This window comes from Homo sapiens, chromosome 8 (genome assembly GCF_000001405.40).
Source record: "Homo sapiens chromosome 8, GRCh38.p14 Primary Assembly".
Lineage (NCBI taxonomy): Eukaryota > Metazoa > Chordata > Mammalia > Primates > Hominidae > Homo > Homo sapiens.
The window spans coordinates 104,465,407-104,484,465 of NC_000008.11; the positions used below are offsets into that span (position 1 = coordinate 104,465,407).

Below are 19,059 nucleotides of genomic sequence, written 5' to 3' on the forward strand. Positions count from 1 at the left end.
CCAAGGCCTTTAGTATATCAATACATCTTCACTTTGGAAGGAGCCATTTCTCTCAAGGCAGCTCAAAACACAGGACTTAGGGAGGATGTGGGCTTTACTTTAGCCCAAGTGCTGAGAGTAGAATTTTTACTCTATGTTCCTGTAAAGCTGCTCTGTTAGTCTCTTGATCTTGTGTTGAGGAGCTTTGGGGAAATGTTGCAGGGGTGTCCAATCTTTGGCTTCTCTTGTCTTGGGCCACACATGAAATATACTAACACTAACGACAGCCAATGAACTAAGAAAAAAAATCTCATAATGTTTTAAGAAAGTTTATGAATTTGTGTTGGGCCGCATTCAAAGCTGTCCTGGGCTGCATGCGGCCTACAGGTTGGACAAGTTTGGTTTAAGTTTCCTTTCATTGACCCAAACTTCTAGGCCTTTGTATCTAGAGAAACCCAAGCCTACCTTCACCTGGGGAGTGGTGATCTGATTACCCTCCTGCAACATCAGTAAAACTATGGGTACTCCAGCAGCAAGAATGTTGTGTCCCCAGCGCAAGTGGGATGGAGAAAAGAGCCTGCTGCGAGGCTGCGTTGGTGTGTGTGAGTGTTGCGAGATCATTTCTGGAATACTTTCTCTTCTAAACCCTGGTCGGGGCTATATTTTTTCTACTGGGGGTGGGAGTGGGGGCAGAGGGTAGGGGACGGGAACGTGAACACGGTGGGCATCTAGCCTACTCAGACACATTACCTGCTACACTGCTCACTTTGAGTCAAGGCTGTAACTACCAGGTGAATGGATTTTTCATTTGGTTTTGGTTGGGGATAAAGGATGGGTCGAAATGGTTGGGAGAAATGGCTGGAAGTGCCTACTTTAAAAAAAGATTCTAAAGAATGTATGGAAGATTTGCGACTTCCACAGAACACCAATCAAAATGGGGTTGCGGGGAGATTTGGGGAGTAAGCGGTATAGAGAAATTAGGGTAAGGGGATGGCCTTAAACTCGTCAAATTAACCACTAAAGGAGGAGTCGAGGGCATCTGGTTGAGCCAAGGCTGCTCGGCTGCCGCCGAGAAGGGGCGCCTGAAAGGGACCCCAGCGAAGAGAATCTGAGTCCCCTCTGACACCCGCCGGGGCTGCGCTCCTTCCCGCCCACCCAGCTCCTCGGCGCCGCGCCGCGCGAGGCGGCCCTGCTGAGGACCCCGGGACGACTGGGGAGGCTGCCCGAGCCTCCGTGGGTACCGCGGGGCGGGGGCGCGGCGGGGCGGGTACCTTGGTGCCCTGGTGGAAGTCGTCGATGGACCGCGAGCCCATGAAGGGGAACTGCATGTGCGTGTGTGTGTCGATGCCTCCGGGCAGGACGAGCTTGCCGGCGGCGTCGAGGACCCGCAGCCCCGCAGGAGCGCCCCCGGGAGGCAGCAGGTCGTGCCCGAGTGCCCGCACCACGCCGTCCTCCACCAGCACGTCGGCCACCTCCGAGAAGTCATCGTTGACCACGCGACCCCCGCGGATCAGGAGCCGCGAGGGCGCCGCCATAGCGAGGGGCGCGCGGGGTCCTACTCGGCCCGGGCTGCGCGCAGGGGCTGGGTTGGGCGGGCCGGGCGGGCTTGGGGTGCCCTCCTGCAAGGTCCCCACCGACAGCCCCCGAGCTCTGCCTCAGGCTGCAAATCCGGAGCCCGGCGGCCTGACGGGTTTATGACCTGGCCGCATATGCGGCTCCTCCCCCCGGGAAGGCTGGGCTGGAGCCCAAAGGCCGGGATTGAACAGGTCCGCATGGTCCTTGCACACTCAGACCCCAAGTGTTCTGCGCCCTGAGTTGAGGTATCCACCCAGGCTTCGGAGTCATTGGAAGGGAAAGATCTTGGAATTTTAAGAGAAAGGAACCTGCGTTTTTCATCATAAGATTAGGTGCTAAAGGGAAAGAAATCCACCTCACCCTTTCCCTTGGTTGGGGGTGTGTTTGTACCAAAAGACAGATCCAGAGGGAGAAAGAAAGCAAGAACCATCACTAGAAGCAGCAACAAAAATACCCAAACCCACCCAAGCCAGAACAGAGCCACTCGATCTGGGTTTCCTGTTAAATGTTCTTAAGCGAGGAGCAAATTATCATATAATCCCAGTAATTGGCAGACACAGGGAAGGATCAGAGTAAAATATTTAATGTATTTGAAAGAAAACGACTTGGTGTCAACTATTCTCCACAGTTTAATGATACAACACATACCAGCAAGTGTTTCTTGGAAAATAACCGGTACTGTAACTCTAAAGATTTAAATTTCTACTCCCAGCTTTTCCACAAAACCAGTTTAGAGATCTTCAGTTAAATCTTTTATTCTCTTGGTTCCTCAGTTTTCTCATATATAAAATTGATTAATACTTGTTCTTGCCTTCCATATTTGCTTTGAGAAGCAAATATGATCATGGCTGTGAATACACCCTAATAAAGTGGGAAGCACCATGCAAATTCACTTAAATACTGGCTTTGTAAGGACTACAAAGCTTACCTGACTAGGGGGATTGGCTAGAGGGCTAAGTGGGAAAGATAAACCACATTTCCACCCTCAAGTAGCTAACAGCCAACAGTGACACACATTCATATTTCAATATATAAAACAGAACATTCTATCTTTGAGAAGGGATAAAGATAAGAATTTAGAGGAAAGAGTGAGTTTATTTCTGGCTTAAAGACATCAGATATGGAAGATTTGTGAAGAGGTATTTGAACTAGGATACAGAGAATGTGAACACGCAGAGGTGAGTGGTGGGAAGAGGACATAGTGCTCCAGGTAGAGTGAACAGAGCGTGTAAAGGCACAGAGAGGATGAAGGAATGCACTCCCTGTGGTTAAGCTATGAGGGATAGGCTTACACTGAATCCTGGACCATCCCTTTGCTTATAGGGGAGGAGGAGGAAGAAGAGACAGAGTGGTCAGAGAGAAGGGAGACCACAGGTCTGTGTGATGGAAGGCAGGAATGCAGAATTTTAAGAAGGGCAACAGGATGGAATCTTGCAAAAGGGTTATGAAGGGTCATGGGGAGGTGGGGTGGACATCTGCTGACCAGGCATATATTCTTGTCCTTATTCTGGTAACAGTCACTGGCATTTCTTTGGTGGGAAATCCTCTGCCTGAAGTCTCAGAACACTTGTTTTGGAGAAACTGATGGTGAGAGACAGGACTAGCTGGATTTCCTAGGCTGACTAAGAATTCCTAAGCCTAGCTGGGGAAGGTGACTACACCTACCTTTAAACATGGGGCTTGCATCTCAGCTCACACCCTACCAGTCAGGTAGTAAAGAGGGCTCACTAAAATACAAATTAGGTTAAAAGCAGGAGGTAAAGAAATAGTCAAATCATATATCACCTGAGAGCACAGGAGGAGGGACAATGATCAGGATATAAACCCAAGCATTCCAGCAGGGAGCGGCAACCCCCTTTGGGTCCTCTCCCATTGTATGGGAGCTCTGTTTTCACTCTATTAAATTTTGCAGCTGCACACTCTTCTGGTCTGTGTTTGTTACGGCTTGAGCTGAGCTTTTGCTCACCATCCACCACTGCTGTTTGCTGCCGTCACAGACCCGCCGCTGACTTCCACCCCTCTGAATCCAGCAGGGAGTCCGCTGCGCTCCTGATCCAGCGAGGCGCCCATTGCCGCTCCAGTTCAGGCTAGAGGCTCGCCATTGTTCCTGCATGGCTAAGTGCCCGGGTTTGTCCTAATCTAACTGAACACTAGTCGCTGGGTTCCGTGGTTCTCTTCCTTGACCCACGTTTTCTAATAGAACAATAACACTCACTGCATGACCCAAGGTTCCATTCCATGGAATCCATGAGGCCAAGAACCCCAGGTCAGAGAACAAAAGGCTTGCCGCCATCTTGGGAGCGGCTCACCACCATCTTGAGAGCACTAAGAACAAAGACCTGCCTGTAACAATGGGACCTCTAGCTCTGCAACTGAGCTCTCACCTAGACTCTTCCAATCAAGGCAGGGAATCCTCAAACCACAGTGATGATACAGGGATGGGCACATGCTCCAAACTTCTCATGCCCAAGAAGTGAGTGCAGATCCCAAGACTTCTTATTTTTAGGTTGAGCAGATAAGAGGCTTGTTCTTTCCTCTTGGACTTGAATTCTAGGGAGTGTAAACAAGGGGCTTCTGGGAGCCTTCTAGACAACACAGAGAAATAGCCCTTCTGTGAACAGAGCCAACACCAAGAACAGGAAGGAGAGACGGAGAGAGGCTGGGTTCTCATGACACTGAGTTCCTGAATCCCACCATGCCTAAAGGCCCCTCCCCTAGACTTCCCACTTTTGGCTTAAGCTGATTTGAGTCTTTTGTCACTTGCAGGGTCCACTGACAGACACTGGGAAGATACCTTCTTCATGTTTCGAGACAAGGTGGCCACATGTGACCTCAGAGATGGCATTTTCAATAGTGGAATGTGAGGTATTATTATTGCCAAATCTCCTAAAGCTTCAGCTTACACAAACCTCAAAATAATTAAAAATTAGAAAGCATCAATAATTTAAAGTTCCGTAGATTTGGCTGTCAAGCCAGGAACAAGAAACCCAAGGAGGTTATGCAATTATTGTCAAGGGACTTTTGTGTAAGGGTGAAAGGGGTAATTATAAACATAATGAAATTTCTACAAGCTGTACAAGTAAGCACCACCTTAGGAAAATAAGATTGGATGTCAGTGCAGCTGTGCCATCCTTTCTGAAATTGTCCAGATTAATGATTTCAAAGGTTTCTTTTATCTTACACAGTTTACGTCGTGAAATGCCCTGTAACACAACACAAAACAAACTTCCCACATTTAATTAACTCAAACTTTTATCAGAAAAGGGGACTTGTAGAATGTCACCGAGGTGGGAGGAAATGGCTCATTGAGATTAACTGACAGCAATAAAAGAGAGAGGGGGGTAGTTTTAGGGATAAATGTTAGCTCACAGAACAGAAGGGGCTTTGCCCCTTTCTGGCCATCATTCCCGCACACTAGCTTGCAGGGCAGGTGGCTGAGCCTGGACAAACCGGCTCAGTGGGGAAAGCTTGTTCTCAGCACACACTCACCTTCATTTTCTTTGTCCTACACAGCCTCCTCCTTACCCAGACACTCCAGGCCCTCCGTGGGCAGTAAACAAGAATCAGGGGACACAATGTTGTCATTGGGAGAAAGGTGGGATGCAGAGCTCCTGCTGTTCTTCATTCTTCTTGCTGGGGAGAGAGTCAGTTGTATTGATGAAAATATCAAGGATGTCTGAGAACATATTACCCCTCAGAGGAATAGTTTTAAAGAAGCATTTTACAGGATGGTTACAAAGATTGTCAGTGCTTAACCCATGAAAACACATCTATCTGGAAGTGTAGGTGAGGGTGATTTGGCAAGAAGAGCCTCCCATCCCTGCTTGATGGTCTACAGGGAGAGAAAGCCTGGAGGAGCAAGCAGGTGACTTCCTTCACTGAGTGGTTGAGATTTTGAGAAACAAGTCCACCAGGGTCAGTTGTATTTCAGTCTTCGGCTATCCTGGAGGAGCCAAGTTTGCTTTCCCTTTGCTCCTGACCCTCTCCACTCCTACTAGAGGCTCCTGTGGGCTAGGAGAGGTTTTTAAGCTGTTGTTTCCACCCAATGGAAGAGTTCTCTGGGGCACAGGGAAGGAATGGTGAGGGTGGGTGAGTGAGACTGAGCAAGGAGAGTTGGGCGTCTCAAAGCAGTGCACGTGCACCAGCATCTGTGGAAACTCCTGTTCCCTGGACCACTGAGGGATAGAATTCCCTGGCAGGGTAATGTATTTATACTTGAATCAATGATGAAAGTTGGGAAAGGTAGATGGCATGGAAAGGGTGGGAGAAAATTGAATGAGGAAATAGTAATCTTATCTAATAGTAATCTGATGCCAGCTTCTGCTGAGAGCTTGGGCAAGTCACTTAATGCTCAGGGTCTCCGCCTCCTCCACAGCTAGGTTGGCAAAAGCTTGTGAGACCCACCCTTCCCACTTTTATAATTTTATGATTCTCTGAATGGAGAGTTCCTGGTGTAGTCCTAGAATTACACTCTTCCCAGATTCAGATGAGTGAATTGGGAACCAAGTAAAACTTGCCTTCTAGATTCAGAAATATGTTATTCCTGGTCCTTCCACTGGGGCCAAGGGGCTCTCCTTGGAAAGGAGCTACATACAGAGTGTAAAACCTACAGTCATGGGGATGGGGCTGTGATGCTTGGTGGGACTGGTTTGAAAGTCCTCGGACTGAAAAGCAGGTATGGCATTTTAATCACTGCTCAGAATTAACATGCACGGTAGGCAGGGATGGTCACCCCTGACTCTGGGGGGCCATGGAGAGAGCTGGCCCACTACACAACCCCAGTGGATACTGTCCCTGAAGCACCGCTCCTGGGCAGAAGGAGAAAAGAGGTAATCCACATAACAGTACCAGCGACAGTAGCTAAGATTTGTCCAGCACTAACATCAAGTTAGTACTGGGCCAAGATTTTTACGTGCAGTATTTTACTTAATCCTCACAATTCTTTGAGCTAAGTACTGTTTTTCCCTTTAACAAATGAGCTTTTTAAGGTCAAGTGATTTGCCCAAGATCACATGGCAGTCAAGGCCTTCCCTTCTGGAACCTGTCATTTACCCACTATGCAACTCCACGCTCCAAAGCCATGTCCAAATCCTGGCTGCAGCTGGGCCTCAGATTACATAAATGAATCAATGATGATCCTGGAATGAAATCTGACATCGTGAACATTACCTTCAGACCTTGTTCACTTCTGTCTGCTGCTTGCAGGCTGGTTCATTTAGTCATCTCAATATTGTAGAGGCAGTCTATGTGTTTGCTCAGGTGATCAATGTCATCAGTGTTCAAAAAAATTATAAAGCAGTCCTTTTTGTAATAAATTAACAAATTTGGTGGGACCAGATTCAACACACCAACACTGAACTGCCTGGGGGAAGAACTTTCAGATATGCTATTGTGTAACTCCAAGAAATTCAAGGAAATACTTATTTAAAAGTTCCTATTTCCAATATTGTCTGGTATTACATGGTAGTGGTATTATTTTTTGGTTGTTTGCTTGTTTTTTGTTAAAGATATTCTGATGCTAAACAGGCAGTTTCAAGCATATCCTGGAGAAGCTGGCTCTAGCAGTGTAGAGTAAGTCCTCCCTGATTCTCAGGGGACACACTGCGGATAGTACCAAAACTGCAGATAGTACCAAACTCGATTGCCATCAGCTGGAACACGTTTCTGTTCACATCTTCCGCAAACTTTATGCCTTTTCCATCTTAACTAAGCACTCATCCACCACACACTATGGCTGTAACTCTTGTAGTCTGAGGAGCAACAGCAAAACTAACACTAATTTCTTTTTTCCTTGTTCACAATTTCATGCATAGAAGTTTTTTTCTCACCGTAGATCTCAGCAACCTCAGTATATGATTTTTCCTCTTTACTTATTAAGTGGAGAACTTTTACCATTTCACTTAAAGAAAACACTTTTCTGCTTCTCTTTAGTGTATCAGAATTGCCAGTATCACTACTCTTGTGCTTTGGGGCCAGTATGAAGTAAAATAATGGTGACTTGAACACGAGCACTGCGATACTGGAACAGCCAATCTGATAACTGAAATGGCTACTGAGTGACTGGTGGGTGGGGAGCCTCTACAGCATGGGTATGCTAGACAAAGGGAAGATTCCTGTTTTCAGGCCCAGGTTAACTGTGCGCAACGAAACCTTGGAAAGTGAAATCAGGGATAAGTGGGATAACTAAGTATATTAGTTTTATGACTGCTCTAACAACTTATCACAAACTTGGTGGCTGGAAAGAACACAGACTTATTTGCTTACATTTATGGATGCCAGAAGTTCAAAATTAGCTTCAGTGGGCTAAAGTCAAGATGTTAGCAGGGCTGATTCCTTCTGGAGGCTCTGAATGAAACAAGAATCTGTTTCCTTGACTCTTCCAGCTGTTGGTGGCTGCTGGCATTTATTGGCAGTGGCCACATCGCTTCATTCTTCCATAATCACATTACGGATGCCTCTGTAACCACATCGCCTTCTCCGCGTCTGTGTCAAATCTCCCTCAGTCTCCTTCTTCTAAGGATGCACGTGATTACATTTAGGGCCCACCTGGATAATCCAGGATAATCTCTCCATTTAAAAAATCCTTATCTTAATCACATCTTGGGAGTCCCTTTTGCCATATAAGGCAACATTCACAGATTCCAGGGATTAGGATCTGGATATCTTTGGGGGCTATAATTTAGCCTATCATAGTGCCTAACATTGTTGCCCTTAAACAAAAGGATGCTGTCTTTGTTAAGAAATGACAAAGAAACACCAGGCTCTGCTCAAAAGTTTGTCTACCCATCCTGCCAACAGCACTCACTTGTACCCACAGAAACCCTCCTACTCCTTTAACTCACTCATCTTGTGTCATAAATTTCCAAGTTGTTTTGAGTTTTTTAGCAAAATATATTCCAGCATATAATAACCTTTAGGGGAATAATGAAAGTGTTCCCTTGATTAGAAAAAATATAATAAAGCAAAATAAAATTAATAAATAGGCTTGTACTTGGGAGCCAGACTGATCTGGAAGTGAACTCTGACTTTATTATCTGTTATCTGTGATTCTTTGATAAGTTTCTTAACTACTCTTAAGCTCTTGTTTCCCCCTAATGGTGCTTCCAATCCACACGGTGGCTGTAAACGTTTAATGAGATATTCATTTAAAGCCCACAGCACAGTGCTTGCTATATATTATTAGCAAAACCAACTATGTTACTCCCATATTTCAGCAACTTTCTTTTCATTAGTAGTTATAACTTTTAAGTGTGAGATACACAAGCTTATGAAATGCTTCTTCTGATCTTGAGAATTAAGAAGCAAGATTATTTAGCATTAACAAAATACTTGGAATTTTGCTACATAGATCAGAGTTTGAATACTGTATTATATATTTTACTTTTTAATAAATATAGGCTAAAATACATGGAGTAAAAGTCATCTTTAAGAAGCATAGAGTTCTGTGAATCTTGACAACAGCAAAAAAAAAAAAACAGTTATGTCACCACCACAATTAAGGTAGAGAACATTTCCACGACCCCAAAATAGTTTCCTTGTGCCCTGCTTAGAGTCAATCTTCTCTCCCACAAATTCTGGCCCCTGGCAACTACAAATCTATTATTTGTATTTTATTTTGTTTAAAAAGAAAATTTAACTTTAGTCTTGTATACAAAGCAAGCTGCAGGATATCTGCAGAGGAAGAGATTACCTACTTTGGTTTTAAACGTTGTCTGTGACTTGGCAGCACTGTTCCTGTCCCCTACATATAAAACAAAAATTCTTAATGACGTCAAGGTCTAAAGTGAAAGGTGCACCTCACTGGGATTCACTGAAACTTTTTCAGGAGCCCTGGGAGGCCCTAAGCCAGAACCACAGCTGGGGCTGGAGCAGGCAGAGCAGGCACTGTTCCAGAACCCTCACAACACTGCATTTAAGTTATGTAGACGAGACACTGGTGAGGCTCTGATGATCCAGATGTTGGAGGAATCAGTGTAAGCAAGACTTTGAGATACAGAGAGAGGCAGTCATGGTGTGCCCCTTTTTACCTGCACTTCTTCCCACTCTCCTTGAAGTTAGAACTTTTCTACCTCTGCATCACTGTCTATGTGATCTCATTTCACTACACTTGCGTTTCTTTAATATAAATGGAAGGTAATGGAGTTACCTTCCTCCTTCATGAAAAACGTGATTCACGTTATACAAATACTTCTTGAGAGAAAATTATTTTTTCTGTAAGAGATATTCATGTAGAACTATACATGGTAAACACAGTAAATATGTTGTTGTGGGTCAAGAATAACACCTGACTGCCCATCTGTTACATAACCATGTACTTAAGGGCACTAATCTGTGAACTTCTGGGAAACAAAACTACATCATACATTTTTGTATTCAAAGACCTATAACCTATTGAAACTGCAGTGCAAAAAGAGTAACTCACTAACTTTTCATTTTTGCCTTATCAACATTCCAATATGGGGCTCTATGCAGGGATTTTAGCGTTTGGTCTGTATTAATAAGGACACAGATCAGATTTTTCTTCTATTCTTTTTTTTTTCTTTTTTCTTCTTTTTTTTTTTTTTTTGAGATGGAGTCTCACTGCGTCTCCCAGGCTGGAGTGCAGGCTCACTGCAGCCTCAACCTCTCAAGCTCAAGAGATCCTCCCACCTTAGCCTCCCTAGTAGCGGGAACTACAGGTGTGTGCCACCACATTCAGCCAATTTTTAAATTATTTGTAGAGACGAGGTTTCCCTGTGTTGCCCAGGCTGGTCTTGAAGTCCTGGGCTCAAATGATTCTCTGACCTCAGCCTCCCAAAGTGCTGGGATTACAGGTGTGAGCCACTGTGCCTGGCCCAGGAGTCTTTTTTTAAACTCCTTTGGAACTCCAAACTCACTTTCAGTATCATTCACTTTTCATTTCAAGGAAGTTCAACTGAGTGTTACAAAAAACAAGTTATTAAACAAATTGTGTTGCAAAATATGTAAGGGTAAGGCTGGAATAAACCACTAGATGGCTTCTTGAAAAGACTATTTCTTTGGTTTGTTCAGCAATTTGTCATCAAAAAAGTGTCACTCCTGATGATTTTGCATCTATATTGACATATAGTTGTTATCCTTTCTTCAAAATTGGAAAGGAAAGTAGCTTCTTTGATCCCTTTGAATATGACTACTGCATCCTTTAGTGCACACTAAGTTATAAGTCCAGTTTTATATTATAAAAGTATAGCTTTTTAGATTTATACAATGTATTCTTCACATTAAGCAAAGTTTTCACATCATGATTAAAAGAAAATACAGATTGAGCATATTATTCACTTCAAAAAAGGTTTACTAATGGGAGTTCCTTAAATAATAAGCTTCCATCTTACATTTCCAATATTATGTAGTTCACATACACTTGATTTACATATTCCTATTCAGGCATTTAACTCTCACATCGATTATACTTGAATACATTGATTATACCTGATGTATGTAGACTTGAACATTTGGGGAAATATCAAAATGTTAGTGACACATACAATAAGGAAATAAGTAACCACTTTTATTTAGAGATAGAGAAAGAGAAAGAATAAAGTTATTCCATCAGACTCTAACTATGAAATATCTTTAAAATTCTTCTTTCATTCCTCCATCCCACATTTCCCCCCCTTTCCTTAACATCTATTTATTCCTATCTACTTTTCCCTCTGGGAAAAGATTATGGTACATAGGGAATTTGCATAAATGACTTTTTAAAAATAAGGCATTTTTATTCTTATAAACATTTGGATTTTCTTTGCAATGAGTCCTTCATGGGAACAAGAAAAAATATAAATTAGAAATGAAGTGAAGATGCATAATTACTAAAGGCAATAATTCTTCATTTATTGTAGTTCAAGTCAAGCAAGTTTTCAAGGGGCAAGAAACTTTCAGGGCCATAGCTTTGTGCTTAGAGCTAAATGGGCTTGGGCTTTAAGAGAAAAGAAAAAAGTTAAATGCACTATAAGTATTCTTCCAGATGGCAGAAATAATTCAGTGTTTTTAATAATATTCATATTTGTTTTAGATATTGTCTTATCCCCAGTGCCAGAACCTGTCTTGCCCCTAATATTTGCAGTGCTCAGGGCAGGATTATGGATGGCAAACACTTGTCCCTTGTCTTCCTATCCCAGGCCCTGTCCTGCACCATGAGAGGCCTTATGCTCGTGCTTGTGGACACCGCAGCCTGCCTAGCCACAGTCCATCCAAGCTCCTCACTCCCCTGGGGCCTGGGATATTCATGCTAGCAGTTCCATCCAGCCCCAGGAAGATAGATCCCAGGAAGACACGAGGGAGGTCCTGCATGTAGACTTAGGCCACTTGGATGGGAAAATCTAGGATTCTGGGTACCAAGAGTGTGGTCTAGAAGTGGAGCGAGAAAGAGCAGCACTCATTTCTCCATAACCCTGTGGATTCCTTGCCTCTTAGGGAAGCATGTGGTGCGGAGAGCCAGGGAGAGGTGCTCTCAAGCAGGGCTCTGGAGCTTGAAGTCAAGAGTAGTACTCATCAGAACAATGCCTGGCATGTGGGATTCCCCCCCATCATTGTTTATGGAATAGTCAGTTATTGAATTTGAATATGCTTGGCACTGGACTATAAAGCCCTTGCATATATGATTTTATCACTACAGGAACTCCATGAGGTAGGAAATATTACCTCAATCTTACAGATGTACAAGCTATGTCTCAGAGAGGTTAACTGCCAAAGTAAGTTACTTTGATCAAATTTTAATGTCAATGGTACCTACAACCACCACACTCACTATGTTATGGGTTTTTTTTTTTTTTTTTTTTTTTGAGATGGAGTTTTGCTCTTGTTGCCCAGGCTGGAGTGCAGTGGCGCGATCTCGGCTCACCGCAACCTCTGCCTCATGGGTTCAAGTGATTCTCCTGCCTCAGTCTCCCGAGTAGCTGGGATTACAGGCATGCGCCACCACGCCCGGCTAATTTTGTATTTTTAGTAGAGACGGGGTTTCTCCATGTTGGTCAGGCTGGTCTGGAACTCCTGACCTCAGGTGATCTACCTGCCTTGGCCTCCCAAAGTGCTGGGATTACAGGCGTGAGCCACCATACTCAGCCCTATGTTTTTGACTAAAGGAAGATGAATGGTATTTTCTGCAACTCTATTTGTTTGTTTATTTATTTATTTATTTTTGAGATGGAGTCCTGCTCTGTCTGCCAAGCTGGAATACAGTGGTGTGATCTTGGCTCACTGCAACTTCCACCTACTGGGTTTAAGCAGTTCTCTTGTCTCCACCTCCCAGGTAGCTGGGACTACAGGCGCGTGCCACCACACCCAGCTAATTTTTGTATTTTTAGTAGAGACAGGGTTTTGCCATGTTGGCCAGGCTGGTCTTGAACTCCTAACCTCAGGTGATCCACTCATCTTGGCCTCCCAAAGTGCTGGGATTATAGGCATGAGCCACCATGCCTGGCCGGTATTTTCTGTAACTTTTTAGTTTCCTAAAGCAACTACTTGTTTCCTGCAGAATAAGCAAGGTTATTTATAGTGGAATAGCTAGATCTAATTCTAAAAGCAAACAGAAAAAAAGGGATATTATTTGTATTTTTGTTCTCTGATCTTTTAAACACAGCTTTATTGAGCTATAATTTACATACCACAAAGCTGACCCATTTAGGGTGTACAATGTAATGGTTTTTAGTACATTTACAGAGTTTTACAACATTCATTTGATCTAATTTTAGAACATTTTCATCATATCAAAAATAAACTTTGTATCCATTGGCAAAGACAGTATTATTATTCCCCTCAGGTTGACTAGCCTATAGACAAGTTCCTTCCTGATTATAGGTCCCTGACCTCCCTGTTCTTAGAGCATTTACTTTAGAAAACTTGTAATTGAAAATTATTTGCTCCTTTGAAATGAAGATAGATCCTCTTCCAGCTTCTTGCCAGTTTAATAACCCAAGTATCTCTTTCTCAAGGACCTAGAGCCATTCCTTCAAATGTAATCAAGTAAGCTGGTGCCCCTATCTCCTAGTCTCTGTGGAAGGGTAGGAGCCTAACTTCACTAAGTACAAATTAGCAAGCACAGTTGGCCTAATTACACTGACCAACCTCCCCTTCTATGTCCTCCAGGACTTTTCCACTAGCTCACCCAGCACTTCCAAACCTGCTGACCTTTTGTTTCAGCAGACTTGAGTTTGATCTCTCCCCTTATTTTAAGTCTTAGAAAAGTCTTCCTTGCCTGTTCAACTGTGTAGCACGATTTTCCTCTGACACCCACCTCCTTCCAAATTCCTTTCGCCTTCCTTAGCTCTGAGCAGCTACCGATCTACTTTTTGTCTCTGTAGATTTGCCTCTTCTGAACATTTCATATAAATGGGATTATACAATTTGTGTTTTTCTGTAACTGGCTTTTTTCACGTAGAGTGTTTTTGAGGTTCATCGCACAGCATTTCTTTTTGTTGCCAAATACTATTACATTGCATGAATATATTACATATTGTTTGTTCATTTATCAGGTGATGGCCATTTGCCTTGTTTCCACTTTTCGGCTCTGGTGAATAAGGCTGTCATGAACATTTATGCACAAGTTTTTGTGTGGATACGTTTTTATTTCTCTTGGGTATATACCTAGGAGTGGAATTTCTGGGTCATATGGTAACTGTACATTTAACTTTTGAGACACTGCCAGACTGTGGTTTTACAGAGCAGCTGCACCGTTTTACATTCCTACCAGCAATGTATGAGGGTTCCAGTTTCTCCACATCCTCACCAATACTTGTTATTCCCTGTCTTTTTTATTACAGCCATCCCAGTAATTGTGAAGTGGTTGTTTTTTAATATTTCTATATTTTTTGTAAAGCAAATATGATTCCAAAATAAAACATAAATCCTTACTATGAGGCTATAACATTTAAAATAGAAAATTAAATCCCTCAATTATTCTATAAGTGAAAATACAATAAAGAATTAGTTCAACTTCCAAGAGCTATACTGCTTCCAATCCCAATGATGGAGGTACTTATTGATGCTGCTTCTTCTGCTGTTTGTGTGAATAAGAACATCTATCACATATTTGTTCTGGGGATTAGAAACAAAGTACATAAGGCATCTAGTATGAGGGTTGGTACTCAGGAAGTACCAATAAATGCTTATGTTTACTCAAAAGCAAGGAATTGGTTACAAACAGTTGCTTTGCACACTTGGCTAACAACTCTTTAATTAAAACAATTTTTTTAGAGACAAGGCTTTGCTCTGTCACCCAGGCTGGAGTGCACGGATGCTATCATAGCTTACTGCCACCTCAACCTCCTGGACTCAATCGATCCTCCCACCTCAGCCTCCCAAGTAGCTGGGATTACAGGCACTTGCCATTATGCATGCCTAGCTAATTTATTTTTACTTTTAGTAGACAAGGGTCTCATTATGTTGCTCACGTTGGTCTCAAACTCCTGGCCTCAAGCAATCCTCCCTCCTCGGCCTCAGCCTCTCAATGTGTTGGGATTACAGGTGTAAGCCACCAAGCCCAGCCTTTGACTAATTACTCTAATGGCAACATGAGATAGAGAAATGGAAATTAGGTTGTATGGTAAAATCTCAATAAAAAATGTCAATGTGCAAAGTACCACCAAAGGAAATAGGAACAGGATGCAGCTAAAACTCACAAAATGAAAATCCCCCCATCGATAGCGGGGGATACCTGTCAAGACCCCCAGTGGATGCCTAAACCAAACCCTATACATACTATGCATATACTTTTTTCCTTCTTCACAATTTCACACATACATTTGTTCTTATCATAGACCTTAGCAACCTCACCCTACAATTTTTTTTTCTTTCCTTATTAAGTGGAGAACTTCCAACGTTTAACTTAAAGAACACATTTTCTGGCTTCTCTTTGGCATATCCAAATTGCCAACATCATTACTCTTGTGCTTTGGGGCCAGTATGAATAGTAAAATAAGAGTGACATAAACTCAAGCACTGTGATACCACAACAATTGATCTGATAACCATGACCACTATTAAGTGACCAGGGGCATGCAATGTCCACAGTGTGGAGAAGCTGGACAAAGGGAGGATTCACATCCTGCATGGAATGAAGCTGGATGGCATGAGATTTCATCACACTAGTCAGAATAGCATACAATTTAAACCTTATGAATTGATTTCTGGAATTTTCCATTTAATATTTTCAGACCAAGGTTGACTGTGGGTAACTGAAACCACAGAAAGTGAAACCTCAGACAAGGTGGGGACTGTTTTACAAAATTTTTATTTAAGGTAACCCAGACTTTGGAAAACTAAATCTATAAGGAATTTCCAGGGTCACTTGAAATCAGAGCTCAGCAGTAATACAGAAATATCTTAAAAAGCTGCTCCCATTATAATGCAATTGAGAATATTCCATTGAATATTGTTTATATGTTGCTTTTTATCATAACTTCTGTTATTATTACGAGCTCAACATATGTTGCTAAGCCCACAGGAAGTAGCCACGTCTTTTCTGTTCTAGGGCTCCATGGAAGTTCTTTATTTTGGCTTCTGTAAATAATAAAAAGGAGTGAGCCAAGACATCACTCTACCTTTGTTTAGTGAAGTTAGTTTTCATTGAGATACAGCCACAAGTTGCCCTATAACCAAGAAAACAGGACAGTGGCTATTATAAGAAACCTGCTCTTTCAGAAAGCTCTAGTAATACACAAAATGCTTAATACATGGTATAGGGGAGCTCTTTTAAAATACTGTTTTATTTTGGAAAGTGAATCTATGATATTGACAATTAAAATTTGTTTTCAATCTCTATGCGTAAAGCTCCAGGAAAGGCTTCTGCATAATTTTTTTCTTGCTTTTTTAAAAATTTGATCTTTTCACTGGTAACCCTTAAGGGTAGGTGTGATCCCATTTTCCAGATGAGACAAGAAAATCAAGTGATTTATTCAGTTACAAAACTCTAGGCTGGGTGCTGTGGCTCACACCTGTAATCCCAGCACTTTGGGAGGCCAAGGCAGGCGGATCACGAGGTCAGGAGTTGGAGACCAGCCTGACCAACATGGTGAAACCCTGTCTTTACTAAAAATACAAAAATTAGCTGGGCGTGGTGGCGTGCGTTTGTAATCCCAGCTACTCAGGAGGCTGAGGCAGGAGAATCACTTGAACCCGGGAGGCGGAGGTTGCAGTGAGCCAAGATCACACCATTGCACTCCAGCCTGGGCGACAGAGCAAGACTCGGTCTAAAAAAAAAAAAAAAAAAAGACCTCTTTAGTAGTGGACACAATTCAAATTTTGATGTGCCTGACTCCAAAGCCCATGCTTTTCCATCTCACTGTACTCTATTACTTCTCCTTAGTAAAGCTTCCAAGTCACTTTTTGGGGGATATTAAGCTTTTTGGGGTTTGAGCTTCCTTCCAACATATGGGAAAACCTGCCCTAATTGACACCTCAGTATCCTTACTGGAAAACACTCTAAGCAAATTCTCATTTCATTCTCAGTAAACCAGGTGTGTCCTACGTAGGAGAAGGCGACTTGGTCCTGTGATGTTCTAACACTAGTTTTCAAATTGTATTAATCCTTAAAACCCTCTGTTCAAATGAAATCTTGCAGGAAAGTCCAACATATAAATAGAACTGCTGTTAGGAGAACACAAGGATGAGCAGTTTACTGAGAGAACCCATCAACTGGAGCTACATTGACAGAGCACCTACATTGATTGAACTCATTGATTGAGCTCCATTGATATGTGCCTCCTCATCACTGTTCTGCTGCATTCACATCATCTCATTTAATCCTCTACTCCACCGTTACTATTCCTGACTTAAGAGCCAGTAGACTGGTTAAGAAGGTTACTCCATGGGTAACTGAGAAGCCTACCAGTTGCTTAAATACATACAGGTTTATTTTTTTCATGGAACTAGAAGTCCAGAGATAGCCAGGCCAAGGTTGATGCAACTGCTCAGTGAAATCAGGCTTTTTCTCTTCCTTTTCCATCACCCTTAAAATGAGGCTTTTCTTTTCATGGATACTGGGTATGCAAATTAGTAGTGTTTGCTACAACAAGATAACAACGTGATCTGAAAAACATCCGGATCTAGGAGTTCTGTAAAGACCTCGCTTTAGTTCCCTGTCACTAAGGTAACTTCCTTGGGCCCCCTGAACTCTGCAGGATCCTTTCATCTGTGTCTGCTTGGTCTTGGAATTCTATTAACTTATCACAAGTGGGCTGTTATCCTTTCTTCTCCCCTGCTCTCTTATTGACCTTTGTTCTGGGTTGCAATTCACTTTCATGATCCCAGGAATAAGCACACATAAGAAATGGAAAATGATCTGTTTCTATTTCTCTTCAGAAACCACTATTATTTTAGAACTTTTCATGTACGATAGCTTATTTAAATGTAAGATTCAGAGATTTTTTTGAGACGGAGTCTTGCTCTGTCACCCAGGCTGGAGTGCAGTGGTGTGATCTCGGATCCTGCAACCTCCACCTCCCGGGTTCAAGCAATCCTCCCGCCTCAGCCTCCCAAGTAGCTGGGATTACAGGCATGCACCACCACACCCGGCTAATTTTTGTATTTTTAATAGAGACAGGGTTTCACCATGTTGGCCAGGCTGGTCTTGAACTCCTGACCTCAGGTGATCTGCCCACCTGGCCTGTCAAAGTGCTGGGATTACAGGCATGAGCCACCGTACCTGGTCAGATGTTTTAACATTTAAACAATGACAATAATAGCAAACAGTTACACAGCACCTACTATAAGCCAAGAGCTGCTATGTGTATATTACAATGCTGTTCCCAGAGCATTATGTATATTAATTTGTTTGATCCTCCAGTAGCCCTATTATCCCCATTTTACAGATGAAGAATGGAAGTACAGGTGATTGACTTCCTGAAAGGCACATGCCAGTAAGGAGTTGGACAGAAATTAGAATCCAAGCAATCTGACTCCAGACTTTTACGCACTATACTGTTGCCTCTAAGCAATTTTAAAATAAACATTTTATAGGTTACAACATGTTGAAATATTAATACAAGTTATTTTAAATGTAGAGAAATAACTGCTAATCTTTAAATTTTACCAACTGCCTAAATATGTTTATTTAAAATTGCATCAATGCTGTGATTTCTGACTGAATATGCTAAGGCAAATTGTTTTATCCTTGTATTTGTAATAAACAGATATGAGATACACATACATGCCTGACATGACAGTGGAGCAGAGTTAATTTTATATCCTTTTAGCAAATACATTTCTAAGGCTGTAAAACTTTTTCTACTTAAAATATTAATAATGGCAACTTAATGTTTCTTGCTATGTATTAGGTACTGTGCTGGGGTAAAGATGGAATGACTTACCTGCTATTCCTTTTATTTAGAGGTGAGTCTATTTCTTTTCCTACTGAATCTGGGTTGGCCAGTGATTTGACACGTAGAATGTGGCAGAAGTATTACGTTGGTGCAAAAGTAATTGCCAGTTTTGCCATTGAAAGTAATGGTAAAACTCGCAATTACTTTTGCACCGACCTAATAACATTCTAGG

General features: G+C 42.5%; 1 protein-coding gene, 1 long non-coding RNA gene and 1 other non-coding gene across 11 annotated transcripts in view, besides 2 other annotated features; 1 reads left to right on the forward strand and 2 right to left on the reverse strand.

The window, feature by feature from the left end:
• Positions 1-1,649, reverse strand: part of DPYS (dihydropyrimidinase) — an 87,625-nt gene extending 85,976 nt beyond the window's left edge. For all 9 annotated transcript variants that reach the window (XM_047421418.1, XM_006716518.4, NM_001385.3 and 6 more), the window contains exon 1: positions 1,251-1,649. In XM_047421418.1, the coding sequence (XP_047277374.1) occupies positions 1,251-1,514 (264 nt within the window). In that variant the 5' untranslated portion in view covers positions 1,515-1,649. The remainder of the gene's footprint in view (positions 1-1,250) is intronic.
• On the forward strand, positions 364-18,881 carry LOC105375691 (uncharacterized). Its single transcript, XR_928507.3, has 3 exons — positions 364-581; positions 4,321-4,419; positions 18,843-18,881. It is a non-coding gene; the product is annotated as an uncharacterized LOC105375691 (long non-coding RNA).
• Positions 3,403-4,602: an enhancer, noted in NCBI's record as "MED14-independent group 3 enhancer chr8:105481037-105482236 (GRCh37/hg19 assembly coordinates)". NCBI's record gives its function as "activates an origin of replication core promoter dependent on BRD2, BRD4, P300/CBP and CDK7 cofactors, and independent of MED14, by STARR-seq in HCT116 cells {active_cell/tissue: HCT116}" and the evidence as "EXISTENCE:reporter gene assay evidence [ECO:0000049][PMID:35650434]".
• Positions 17,181-17,381: a silencer, noted in NCBI's record as "peak7134 fragment used in MPRA reporter construct". NCBI's record gives its function as "represses an SCP1 promoter by STARR-seq MPRAs in K562 erythroleukemia cells {active_cell/tissue: K562}" and the evidence as "EXISTENCE:reporter gene assay evidence [ECO:0000049][PMID:32103011]".
• Positions 18,882-18,962: 81 nt separating the features above from the next.
• Positions 18,963-19,059, reverse strand: MIR548A3 (microRNA 548a-3). Its single transcript, NR_030330.1, has one exon. It is a non-coding gene; the product is annotated as a microRNA 548a-3 (primary transcript).